At 40.6% G+C, this 13,467-nt stretch overlaps 1 annotated feature.

Moving 5' to 3' along the window:
- Positions 8,807-9,007: a silencer, noted in NCBI's record as "peak1625 fragment used in MPRA reporter construct". NCBI's record gives its function as "represses an SCP1 promoter by STARR-seq MPRAs in K562 erythroleukemia cells {active_cell/tissue: K562}" and the evidence as "EXISTENCE:reporter gene assay evidence [ECO:0000049][PMID:32103011]".

The following is a 13,467-nucleotide window of genomic DNA, read 5'->3' as shown; positions in this document are numbered from 1 at the left end:
CCATTAAATCACATCAGGTAAGTATCTGTCCATTCTGCTTTCTCCTACCACTGGCTTCATATATGGCCCATATATACACACCAATCCCAGCAAGTTTTAAGCAATTTATTATATACAAACAGGCAAGCTCAATTTTAAGACTAGGGTGTGCTCTGAAAGTAAACAGTCATGTTAATGAGCAGTTTTCAAAGTGAGCTCCTAGGACTCCCACCCTAAGATGCTTCAGAGAGCAGAGGCAGAAGTGAGTGGATGTGCAGCCATGGGCACAGCGATTTCACTTTCATCTGTTTCAGACTTAGACCCAAGATTATTTGGGGAAGTGGTTCCTTAAGCTGCTTATGAAAGAGCTGAAACAATCGATGTAACCAAGTAACAATTAGATTAAAAGCTAGTGCAGAAAATCCCAGTCAGTCCACAACACAGCTGACTAACACCAAAATCCAACCACCACTTGTTATAGGGCCTTTATGGTAAAATACAAGTCCCAGCCTGAGCCCCAGGGCAGAGGTCAGCCCAGGTCTGAGCAGACAGGAGCTGGGCCTTCTCTTCTTCCCTACTCAGCCCCCTCATCTCCTGCCCTGGAACATCATGAACAGAAGGAAGGGCACTTACACTTCCATGAGGACTGAGTCAACAGTAAGAGGGCAAGATTACGGTGCAGGGGGCCTGTGGATGTTCACAAGATGGAGAAGCAGAGGTCTCCAGCAGAGAACAAGACATGGTGGGTTTCTGTAAGTCAGACACTTCCCAGGCCCTATCCCGATCCCTACAGCTTCTTTGCTGGGAATTCCACGTGCAAGGTTTACACACTTCACCTGGATCAGGGCTCTTGGCTAGGAATAAGAAAGGAGAAAATAGAACAGTTTAAAAGGAAGAAAAAAATACCTATGTTCTATGAAATCCAATTCAAAACAATATGTAAAATGAAAAAAAGGGGGAAGATTGGGGGAGCATTATGAGAAAATAAGCATTGCCTAAATGTGCTCCAGAGAAATTCACATTGACTAAGAAGCACTGAGTATATTCAATCCCTCCCTCAGCACAGAGCTCTAATTATTTGGCCCTGCCAGGACTGAATACAAAAAATATTTATAAACATGAACCATTATATTTTTTGAGTTTTCATCATACTAAAAAGTAAGTATAAGTAAAAGTAGCTGTACGTGATGGCCCACTAAGAACAAACGAAAGACTACTGTTGGAGTACAACCTTGGCAGGCTGAGGTGGGAGAATCACTTGAGCCTAGAGTTTGAGTCCAGCCCAGGCAACATAGCAAGAGCACACTTTGAAAGAAAAGATAGAAAGAAAAGAAAAGAAAAGAAAGAGGGAAGGAAGGATGGAAGGAAAAAGAAAGAAACATAAAGAATGAAAGAAAGAAAGAAAGAGGAGGGAAGGGAGGGAGAGAAGAAAAAGAAGAAGGAAGAAGTAGAAGGAGGAAGAAGAAGAAGGAAGAAGAAGAGGAAGAAGAAGAAAAAGAAGAAGCAGCAGAAGCAGCAGCAGGAGGAGGAGGAGGAAGAAGGAAGCAGAAGAAAAAGAAGGAAGAAGGAGAAGGAGAAGAGGAAGAAGAAAGAAGAATAAGAAGAGGAAGAAGAAGGAGGAGGAGGAAGGAAGAAGAGGAAGAAGGAAGAAGAAGAGGAGAAGGAAGAAGAAGAGGAAGAGGAAGAAGGAGGAGAAGGAGGAAGAGGAAGAAGAAGAGAAGGAGAAGAAAGAAGGGGGAAGAAGAAGGAGGAGGAGGAGGAAGAAGAAAGAAGAAGGAGAAAGAAGAAGAGAGAAGGAGAAGAAAGAAGAAGGAAGAGAAAGAAGAAAAGGAGAAAGAAGAAAGAAGGAGGAGAGGAGGAAGAGGAGGAGGAACACAGGAGGAAGAAGGAGAAGAAGAAGAAGAAAGAGGAGGAGGAGGAGAAGGGAAGAAGATTTACAAGTTTACATTTATTTTGGACTTCAATCTTTGTATCTTTGTCTTAAAAAGTTTCTGAGGCCGGGCGCGGTGGCTCACGCCTGTAATCCCAGCACTTTGGGAGGCCGAGGCGGGCGGATCACGAGGTCAGGAGATCGAGACCATCCCGGCTAAAACGGTGAAACCCCGTCTCTACTAAAAATACAAAAAATTAGCCGGGCGTAGCGGCGGGCGCCTGTAGTCCCAGCTACTTGGGAGGCTGAGGCAGGAGAATGGCGTGAACCCGGGAGGCGGAGCTTGCAGTGAGCCGAGATCCCGCCACTGCACTCCAGCCTGGGCGACAGAGCGAGACTCCGTCTCAAAAAAAAAAAAAAAAAAAAAAAAAAAAGTTTCTTAGATGAGCAGTTTCATGCAAAAGGTTCATTGGAGAGTGATCTGGGAAGAGACACCTGTAAGGCAGAAAACAAGGGAGGATGAGGCAGATGGAGAAGTGGGAGGAGTGGTTTTAACTGAGGCCTAGCTGATCCTACAGGTTGCCCTGGGGCTAGAGTGGTTCTTTAGAGTTATCCCAAATTGGGGAAAGGAGCCAGGATATACACACACACACACACACACACACATATATATATATGTGTGTGTATATATATATGTGTATATATATATATGTGTGTGTGTGTGTGATATATATATAATATATATATATAATATAATATATATATATAATATAATATATATATATAATATTATATATATATAATATAATATATATATAATATTATATATATAATATATATATATATAATATTATATATATATATATAATATAATATAATATATATATATATATATATATATATATATTTTTTTTTTTTTTTTTTTTTTTTTTTTTGAGATGAGTCTCGCTCTGTTGCCCAGGCTGGAGTGCAGTGGTGCGATCTCGGCTCACTGCAAGCTCCGCCTCCCAGGTTCATTACATTCTCCTGCCTCAGCCTCCCGAGTAGCTGGGACTACAGGCACCTGCCACCACACCTGGCTAATTTTTTTGTATTTTTAGTAGAGACGGGGTTTCACCGTGTTAGCCAGGATGGTGTCGATCTCCTGACCTCATGATCTGCCCACCTCAGCCTCCCAAAATGCTGGGATTACAGGCGTGAGCCACCACCCCAGCCGGGGCCAGGATTTTTTTATCCTTGCATGAGCCACACCTGGGAGGCATTGTAATCTTGGATCAAGGTGGTCCCCTGCAGCCAAGGGCAGTTTCAAATGAAGGATGAACCTATGAGCCAGCACTTCCAGCAGCTTGGGAATGAGTACATCATCCCTGAAGATGAGATCAAGATGGAGACCATAATACCTACCTTCTCCTTACAGACACATTTAAATTGGGACACATTCTCTTTTCATTCTTCTACTCATTGTATATCAGGGCAGTTTACAGAGCACCTTATTGCAGCCATCCCAGTCTCTTTACATATCTCCCCTACTTCCTTTTCTTTGGGACTATTCACATTTATACAGTCAGATATCATTTTATAATTTTTCCCTTTTTTCTGTTACATACGCTGTATTCATCTGTTCTCACGCTGCTAATAAAGGCATACCCAAGGCTGGGTAATTTATAAAGGAAAGAGGTTTAATGGACTCACAGTTCCACATGGTTGAGGAGGCCTCATGATCATGGTGGAAGGCAAATGAGAAGCAAAGGCACGTCTTACATGGCAGCAGGCAAGAAAGAATGAGAGAGCCAAGAGAAAGGGGAAACCCCTTATAAAGCCATCAGATCTCATGAGACTTATTCACTACCACAAGAACAGTGTGGGGGAAGCTGCCCCCATGATTCAATTATCTCCCACCAGGCCCTTCCCACAACATGTGGGAATTATGCAAGCTACAATTCAAGATGAGATTTGGGTGGGACACAGCCAAACCATATCATATAGTGTTTTTCTGAATCTTTATAAATCTGCTTTTTTAAACCTATACATTCTGTTAGAATGCTATTATTTCATAGTAACTTTCTCCCATATAACCAATCTTTTCTTTCTTGTTGGTTAGAAAAAAATTTTTGAATATTATTTGCCATTTTGGTTTTCTCTACTTTCTAAGAATGTTTTAGTTAGAGTTATTGGTTGCAAACAACAGAAAATAAATCTGGCTCCGTTAAGGAGAAAAATAATTTGGGGAAGGGTTAAAGGTTGCACAATAAGCAAGAAAACTTACCAAACTTAGGCATGAAGCTAGACAGACAAAGCACAGCCAAGATCCTGCCCAAAGAGCCATTGGTGTAGGATGTTCTGCTGGCAATGATCCTGCGGGAGAAACAGCTGTGCTGCTGGTGTCTGCTGCCTCTGGATGCTAACTCTCAGGCCTCTGAACTTACAATGTCTCTGTAGATAAAGTAACTGTACTCATGTTACAGTCCATGCTCTAGCTACCAGAATTAAGGAGAAAGGCTGGGCCAGGCAGGGTGGCTCGTGCCTGTAATCCCAGCACTTTGGGAGGCCAACGCAGGTGGACTGCATAAGATCAGGAGTTCAAGACCTGCCCGACCAACATGGTGAAACCCCATCTCTACTAAAAATACAAAAATTTGCCAGGTGTGGTGTCAGTTGCCTATAATCCCAGCTACTCAGGAGGCTGAGGCAGGAGAATGGCTTGAAGCCAGGAGGCGGAGGTTGCAGTGAGCCAAAGTCGTGCCACTGCACTCTAGAAGACAGAGCAAGACTCTGTCTAAAAAAAAAAAAGGAGAAAGACTATCATTCCCCTGCAGCTTCCATGTAGTAAACAGAGACTGGCATTCCTTATATTTCCCCTTGTGACTCTCCCAAAGAGGAAGGTGGTCATATAATGAGCTACCAAAATAATAAATGACCATTAACACAAGACTCAAAAAATGCAAGAATTTTAGCTGCACAAGGTGGCTCACGCCTGTAATCCCAGCACTTTGGGAGCCCAAGACTGGCAGATCACCTGAGGTCAGGAGTTTGAGACCAGCCTGGCCAACATGGCGAAACCCCGTCTCTATTAAAAATACAAAAATTAGCCGGGTGTGGTGGCAGGCGCCTGTAGTCCCAGCTACTCGAGAGGCTGAGGCAGGAGGGTCTCTGGAACCCAGGAGGTGGAGGCTGCAGTGAGCTGCGATCATGCCACTGCACTCCAGCCTGGGAAAAGAGTAAGAATCTGTCTCCAAAAAAAAAGAAAGAAAGAAAAAAATGTAAGAATTTGTCAATAGTATCCCTTTAAGATAATTAGTTTTCAGAATGTTGGTATATTTGGATTCTTACATGCCACTTTTACTTGCCCCTCTGAAATGTTTATAATTTATGTTAGGAGAGCATCTTTTTAAAAATAATTAATTAATTTGAAAAGTTTTTGTAGACAAGGTCTTGCTGCATTGCCCAGACTGGTCCTGAACAGGGTTCAAGTGATCCTCTCACCTCGGCCTCCCAAAGTGCTCCAATTACAGGTGTGAGCCACTCAGATAAGGAAGCATTTTTTTATATAATCTGCTGTTCTATGTCCTTATTATACTCCAACAACAATAGCATTTTTGTTTGTTTCTGTTTTTATTCTAGTCTGAGGTCTTATCAGATGTTACAAATGTGTTCTGTGGGGGAAAATAATACGTCTTCAATCATATAAAATGAGAAGTGCCATCAACTATAACTCTCTTTTGAACACAGTAGCATATGAAAGGTTTTGAGAAATCCAGAAGTAAAGAGGTAGATGTAGGCTGGGCACACTGGCTCATACCCGTAATCCTGGCACTTTGGGAGGCCGAGGCAGGAGGATCTCTTGAGGCCAGGAGTTCAGCAAAAATGGGACTGTGGCTCCCAGAATCCTGTGCGATCACTGGAATTCCTAGCTTCCTGCAAAACAGCAGTGGCAGTGTGGTGTTAGAAGTCTCAGCAGCACAGCACTCATGGGATCTGAGCAATGTTCCTTTCCCTTTTGCTCCTCCAGCCTTGGGAGTTGGCAGCTTCCAGTACTTACTGATATCTGGGTAGCATCCATTCACCTTTTTGTCTCTTCAGCTCCACTAACACTTTTGCAAACTACCCGCTGTGTTAATGGCTCAGTGTTAGAAATACCTAGAGTGGTTTCTGTTGTTCTGATAGATCACTTAAATATACAAACATGGTATTTTCCCCCAAGAAAACATATTAACATGTTGTATGACTACAGTATTTTGTACACCATATTTTGGGAAATACCTAGAGTTATTTATATTGTTCTGACTAGACACTGAAATATACAAACATGGTACTTTCTCCCCAGAAAACCTATTGACTTTTATGATGATGATATTCTGTATGACATAATTTATTTAGGAAATGCAAATAGCCCAAATCTCCTTCACTTTTGTTTTCTAGTTGTTTTTTCTGCAAATAGGCACTTTGACTACTATACTACTATTATTATTCACATTATATTACCTTTTTTTTTTTTTGAGACAAGTCTCACTCTGTTGCCCAGGCTGGAGTACCGCGATCATGGCTCACTGCAGCCTCAACCTCCTGGGCTCAAGCAGTCCTCCCACATCAGCCTCCTGAGTAGCTGGGAGGATCACTTGAGACCAGGAGTTCAGGACCAGCCTGGGCAATGCAGCAAGACCTTTTTAATTAATTAATTAATTAATTAATTAATTACTTTTTAAAAGATGCTTCCCTAATATAAAAATACAAATACCATTGTATTTTTAGTAGAGACAGGGTTTTGTCATGTTGCCCAGGCTGGTTTCAAACTTCTGAGCTCAAACAATCTGCCTGTCTTGGCCTCCAAAAGTGCTGGGATTACAGGTGTGAGCCACCACACCCAGCATATTACATATTTTTAACCAAAGTTTCACTTAAATTCTATATTCCATATACATGTTCCACCCAAGAATTCTTATTGATACCTATAAAATCAAATATCAAGCTTATTTTATTCACCATCATTCTGTCTACTGATATATGGATATAACTCTCAACCAACCCATTTATTTATTCTTGAGATAACTTATATGCAGAGTAAGGTGCATAAATCTTACATATACAGTTTAATGAATTTTTACATAAGCATCAACTAAAGATACAGACATTTCCAGCATTCCACAAAGCTTCCTCCTGCCATTCCATCAATACTTCATTAAAAATGATGACTATCTGAATTTTACCACAGATTAGTTCTACTTGTTTTTGAACTACATACAAATGAAATCATACAATATATTATTTTTATGTCTATCTTCTTTCAATATTTTGTGTGTGAGTTCATCTATGTTGTTGAATGTGGTTTGTTCATTTTTATTTCTGTATCATTATTATATCACTATCATTCATTCACAATTTATTTATTCATTTGACTCACGATGAACATTTGAATTTTTATCAGGTTAGGGCCATTACTGTAATTGCTATGAACACATTCATCCATGTCTTTTGGTGGATATAAGCACTCACTTCTGTAGTGTTCATACTCAAGAGTGGAATTGCTGGTTCAACGAGTTTGTGTATGTTTGGCTTTGTAGATACTGCCAAAAATTTTTCCAAAGTGGTGTACAAATTTGCATTCCCATGAGCAACGTATGAGAGTTCCATTTGCTCTGTATCCTCACCAAAACTTGGTGTTGACATTCTGGTGGAGGTATAGTGGTATTTCATTATGGCTTATATTTGGCTTCTTGATACCTAAGCATGATGAACAAACATGTTTTACATTTAGTGGCCGTATGGATATTCTCTTTCTTTGAGGTACACACTTCTACTCGTTTAAGAATATTGAGTTGTCTGTCTTTTTATCATTAATTTGCAGGAGTTTCTTACAGGAGGAGCCTTTGAAAAGTTCATGGAAAATGTGTATTATGAAAAAAAACTATGCATGGATTTATTTGTTTTTGCACCAAAATAAACTCATACTAAACTTAATATAGCATGTCTGAACAGGATCTAGTTTAAAGTCCTAAGAAGGATAAGACATCAATTTGAAAAGAGCCCTTATCAGAGCAACATGAATTCAGCTAAAATTGAAGAAATAACAAGACATGAAATTTATGGTGAAGCTTAAGTGGAAGAACAGTGAAACTATTGATGTTTTACAAAAAGTTTATGGGTACAATGCTTCAAAGACATTAGCAGCCTACAAATGGATAACTCATTTTAGGAGGGATGAGGTGATATTGAAGATGAAGCCTGCGACAACACACCATTCACATCAATTTGCAAGAAAAAATGTAATTTTCTTCACGCCCTAATTGAAGAGGACTGACAATTAACAGCAGAAACAATAGCCAACACTACAGATATCTCAATTGGTTCAGCTAACACAATTCTGACTAAAAAATTAAAGTTGAACAAACTTTCCACTGGATGGGTGCCAGAACCATTGTGCCCAGATCAGCTGCAGACAAGAGCAGAGCTTTCAATGGAAATTTTAAACAAGTAGGATCAAGATCCTAAAACATTTAATCGAAGAATTGTAATAGGAGATGAAACATCGTTTACCAGTACAATCCTGAAGACAAAGCACAATCAAAGCAATAGCTACCAAGAGGTGAAAGTGGTCCAGTCAAAGCAAAAGTGGACTGGTCAAGAGTAAAGGAGGGCTGAGCACAGTGGCTCATATCTGTAATCCTAGCACTTTGGGAGACCAAGGCAGGAGGATCACTTCTCAGAAATTCCAGACAAGCCTGACAACATAGTAAGACCTTGTCTCTATAAAAAAACTTAAAAATTAGCCAGCCATGGTGGTATGTGGCTATAGTCCCAGCTACTTGGGTGGCTGAGGTGAGAGGATCGCTTGAGCCCAGGAGGTTGAGGCTGCAGTGAGCCGTGATCGCGCCACTGCACTCCAGCCTGGGTGACAGAGCAAAACCCTGTCTCAGAAAAAAAAACAAAAAACAAAAAAAAACGAGCAAAGGTGATGGCAACATTTTTGGGGGATGCTCAATGCACTTTGCTTATTGACTTTCTGAAGGACCAAAGAATGACAATATTGCCAGGCATGGTGGCTCAATGCCTGTAATCCCAGCTACTTGAGAGGCTGAGGCAGGATAATCGCTTCAATCTGAGAGGCGGACGTTGCAGTGAGATGAGATCACGCCACTGCACATTAGCCTGGGCGACAGAGTGAGACTTTGTCTCAAAAAAAAAATGACAATATTATGACAATGCTTATTATCAGGGTTTTGAGAAAGTTAGCCAGTTAGCAGAAAAATGCCTGGAAAGCTTCACCAGAGAGTTCTTCTCCACCACGACAATGCTCCTGCTCATTCCTCTCATCAGTCAAGGGACATTTGTGAGCATTTTGATGAGAACTCATTATACGTCTACCTTACAATCCTGATTTAGCTCCTTCTTACTTCTTTTTGCCTCAAAAAAATCTTTAAAGGGCACCAATTTTTCTTCAGTTGATAATGTAAAAAAGACTGCATTGACATGGTTAAATTCCCAGGATCCTCAGTTCTTTAGGGGTGGACTGAATGGCTGGTATCACTGCTTACAAAAGTATCTTGAGCCTGATAAAGTATGTTGAGAAACGAAGTTTATGTTTTATCTTTTAATTCCATTTTTCATGAAGTTTTGGAGTCCCCTTGCATAGTCTATGTATGAGTTTTTTATTGGATATATGTATTAAAGATATTTTCTCTCAAGGCCAGGCACAGTGGCTCACACCTGTAATCCCAGCAGTTTGGAAAGCCGAGGTGGGCAGACCACTTGAGGCCAGGAGTTCGAGACCAGCCTGGCCAACATGGCAAAACTGCATCTCAAATGAAAATACAAAAATTAGTGGGTGTGGTGGTGCGACTGCAATCCCAGCTATTCAGGAGGCTGAGGCACAAGAATTGCTTGAACCCAGGAGGCAGAGGTTGCAGTGAGCTGAGACTGCCACTGCACTCCAGCCTGGGCAATAGAGCAAGACTCTATCTCAAAAATATATATCTATGTCTATAACTATCTTCGCTCAGTCCATTGCTTTTCCACTCAATTAATTCTGTCTTTTGATAAATAGAAGTTCTTTATTTTTTCCTTGAGACAGGGTCTCACTCTGTCACCCAGGCTGAAGTGCAGTGGCCCAATCATGGCTCACTGTAGCCTCGACCTCCTGGGCTCAAGCTAATCTCCCACCTCAGCCTCCTGAATAGCTAGGACTACAGGCATGTGCCACCACACCTGGCTAATTTTTTTTAAATGTTTTGTACAGATGGAGTCTTGCCATGTTGCCCAGGCTGGGTCTTGACCTCCTGGGCTCAAGCTATCCGCCCACCTTGGCCTCCTAAAGTGTTGGGATTTCAGGTTTGAGCCAACACACCCAGCCTGAAGTTCTTAATTTTACTGAAGTATAATTTATCAGTCTTTTCTATTACAGATAGTACATTTCTGTCCTGCTTATGATATTTTTCTGTACACTAAGGTCATGAAGATATTTTCTTATATTTTCTTCCAGAGCTTTATTTGGACTGGTCTAAACCTACATCTAGGTATTTGACCATCTCGAATTAATTTTTTATAGTATGCAGTAGGAATGAGGGTTAATTTTTTTCCATATTGAAACCCAGTGGACCTGGCACCATTTATTGAAAAGACCATCCTTTCCCCTGCTGAATTGTAGTGGTGTCTTTCTTATAAATCATGTGACTCTTTTCATGCAGATCTGTCCCAGGATCAGCATTCTGTTCCACTAATCTGTGTGTCTATTCTTGAACCAATATTATACAGTCTTAGTTATTATAGTTTCAAAGTCAATCTTGTTATTTCTTGGCCCTTTGCATTTCAATGTATATATTTTCAAGGAGAATCTTCAGTCTAGTTAAATGTAATTATCAAAAATGCTTGGGTTTAAGTGTACCATCTTTCTACTCGTTTGTCCCATCTGTTTTTTATTCCTTTATTTCACCCTTTGTGCCTTGTTTTGTATCAAACTATTGTTATTTCATTTTTCTCCTCCATCAGCTATTAGAACTACAGGTGTGTGCCACAGTGCCTGGCTTCATTTTTTTTTCTTTTTTTGAGACAGAATCTTGCTCTGACACCTAGGCTGGAATGCAGCGGCATGATCTTGGCTCACTGCAACCTCTGCCTGCCAGGTTCAAGCAATTCTCATGCCTCAGCCTCCCAAGCAGCTGGGATTATAGGCAAGTGCCACCATGCCCTGCTAATTTTTGTATTTTTAGTAGAGATGGGGTTTCACCATGTTGGCCAGGCTGGTCTTGAACTCCTGGCATCTGCCCACCTTGGCCTCCCAAAAGGCTAGGATTACAAGTATGAGCCATGGCGCCTGGGCTGTGCCTGGCTTTCTATTAGCTTTTTCAACAACTTTATTGAAATATAATACGTATATCATGTAATTCACCCATTTACAGTATACAATTCAATGGCTTTTAGTCTATTCAAAAAGTTGTGCATCCATCACCTCAATTGCTTTCACATTTTCATTGCCACAAAAAGAAATCCTGCAGCCCTTAGCTATCATATTCAATTCCCCCATACCCCCAGTCCTAGGTAACCACTAAACTAATTTTCTAACTCTATAGGGTTGCCTATTCTGGACATTTTATATAAACATTTAGAAAAATGTACACAATGGGTATTCGTGTGGTATTATCTGAGTGTGTGTGTATATATAAGAGAGTAAGAAGGAAAAAAGAGAAACTTCTGAATAACACATGGAGTGAGGAAAGAATGGGAAGGGAGAAAAAGTGGGCATAAATTTCTATATTTTCATGGGTGTGGACAATTGTGCACTTAAAGATCAGATTTATGTTTATAAGAAAAAAACAACTCCATTAAAAAGTGGGTAAAGGACATGGGCAGACACTTTTCAAAAGAAGACATATGTGCAGCCAATAAGCATATGAAAAAAAGCTCAACGTCACTAATCAATAGAAAAATGCAAATCAAACCCACAAGGAGATACCATCTCACACCAGTCTGAATGGCTTTTACTAAAAAGTCAAAAAAACAACAGGTGCTGGTGAGGTTGCAGAGAAAAAGGAGCACTTACTCACTGTTGGTAGGAGTGTAAATTAGTTCAACCATTGTGGAAAGCAGTGTGGCGATTCCTCAAAAAACCTAAAACCAAACTGCCATTTGACCCAGCAATCCCATTGATGGGTATATACCCAGAGGACAAATTGTCCTATCATAAAGACATATGCATGCGTACATTCAAGGCAGCACTATTAATAACAGCAAAGACATGAAATCAACCAAAATGCCCATGGATGGTAGACTGGACAAAGAAAATGTGGTACATATACACCATGGAATACTATGCAACCATTAAAAAGAACAAGATCATGCCCTTTGTAGGAATGTGAATGGAGCTGAAGGTCATTATCCTTAGCAAACTAACACAGGAACAAAATGTCAAATACCACATTCTCACTTATACGTGGGAACTAAGTGATGTGAACACATGGACACAGAGAGGGCGACAATAGATACTAGGGCCTGCAGGAGGGTGAAGGGTGGAGGGTGGGAGGAGGGAGAGGATCAGAAAAAATAACTAATGGGTACAAGGCTTAATACCTAGGTGACAAAATAATCTGTACAACAAACTCCCATGACACAAGTTTACCCATGTAACAAACCTGTACATATACCCCATACTTAAAAGTTAAAAAAAAGAAATCAGATTTATAAATTAGGATACTGAATTCCAGGTTCTTGGTAAAGTGTCTTAAAAGAAACTAATGTTGCACAGATGTACCGACAATCCTAAGCATAAAAATTTTGGTTCTCAAATATCCACTGAAGAAAGACTAGCACATATTTTGGCACTGCAATAAGAATCAACAAGCTGAAACCAGTTTTTTCCTTCAAAATACTTCAAAGGAAATGTACACCTCAGCCACTCCTATCCTTTTTTCTAGAAGGTAAATAAAGATGACTGATGCATTTGGTGATTAAAAGCCTGTATTGTTTTTAAATGGACAAAAAAGGCCTTGTAAGGATTTTTAGTTTCATTATTTATAATTAGTTTTTCTTCTTATTTCAAGGAAGTGCCAAGCTTGTTCCTTAGAGTCTTTGCACTTGCTGTTCCCACTGAATGAGTCCTGGTTCTTTGCTCAGTGGTTTCCTCTAATGATCAAAGTATTGAGGGCCAGGTGCAGTGGCTCATGCCTGTAATCCCAGCACTTTGGGAGGCTGAGGTGGGCTGATCATTTGCGGTCAGGAGTTCGAGACCAGGCTGGTCAACACGGCGAAACCCTGTCTCTACAAAAAAATACAAAAATTACCTGGGCATGGTGGCACACGCCTGTAATCCCAGCTGAGGCATGAGAATCGCTTGAACCCAGGAGGCAGAGGTTGCAGAGAGCCAAGATCGTGCCACTGCACTCCAGCCTGGGCAACAGAGGGAGACTCTGACTCAAAAAAAAGAAGTACTGAGCTCATATGCCACCTCCAAAGACAAGCCTTTCCATTTAACTATATCTAAGCCTTCCCCACTTCTCACCATCTCTTCCCATCTCCTGTATCCAATCATCCTGTTTTATTGTTTTCTTAGCTGTTACTTACACTATCTGAAATTGTCTTTTTTATGTATTTATTGATGGAATAAATGTTCTTCTCCTCTCTCTATAATGTCA

Source organism: Homo sapiens, chromosome 12, assembly GCF_000001405.40.
Source record: "Homo sapiens chromosome 12, GRCh38.p14 Primary Assembly".
Classification (NCBI taxonomy): Eukaryota; Metazoa; Chordata; class Mammalia; order Primates; family Hominidae; genus Homo; species Homo sapiens.
This window is presented reverse-complemented; position numbering and strand designations above follow the sequence as displayed.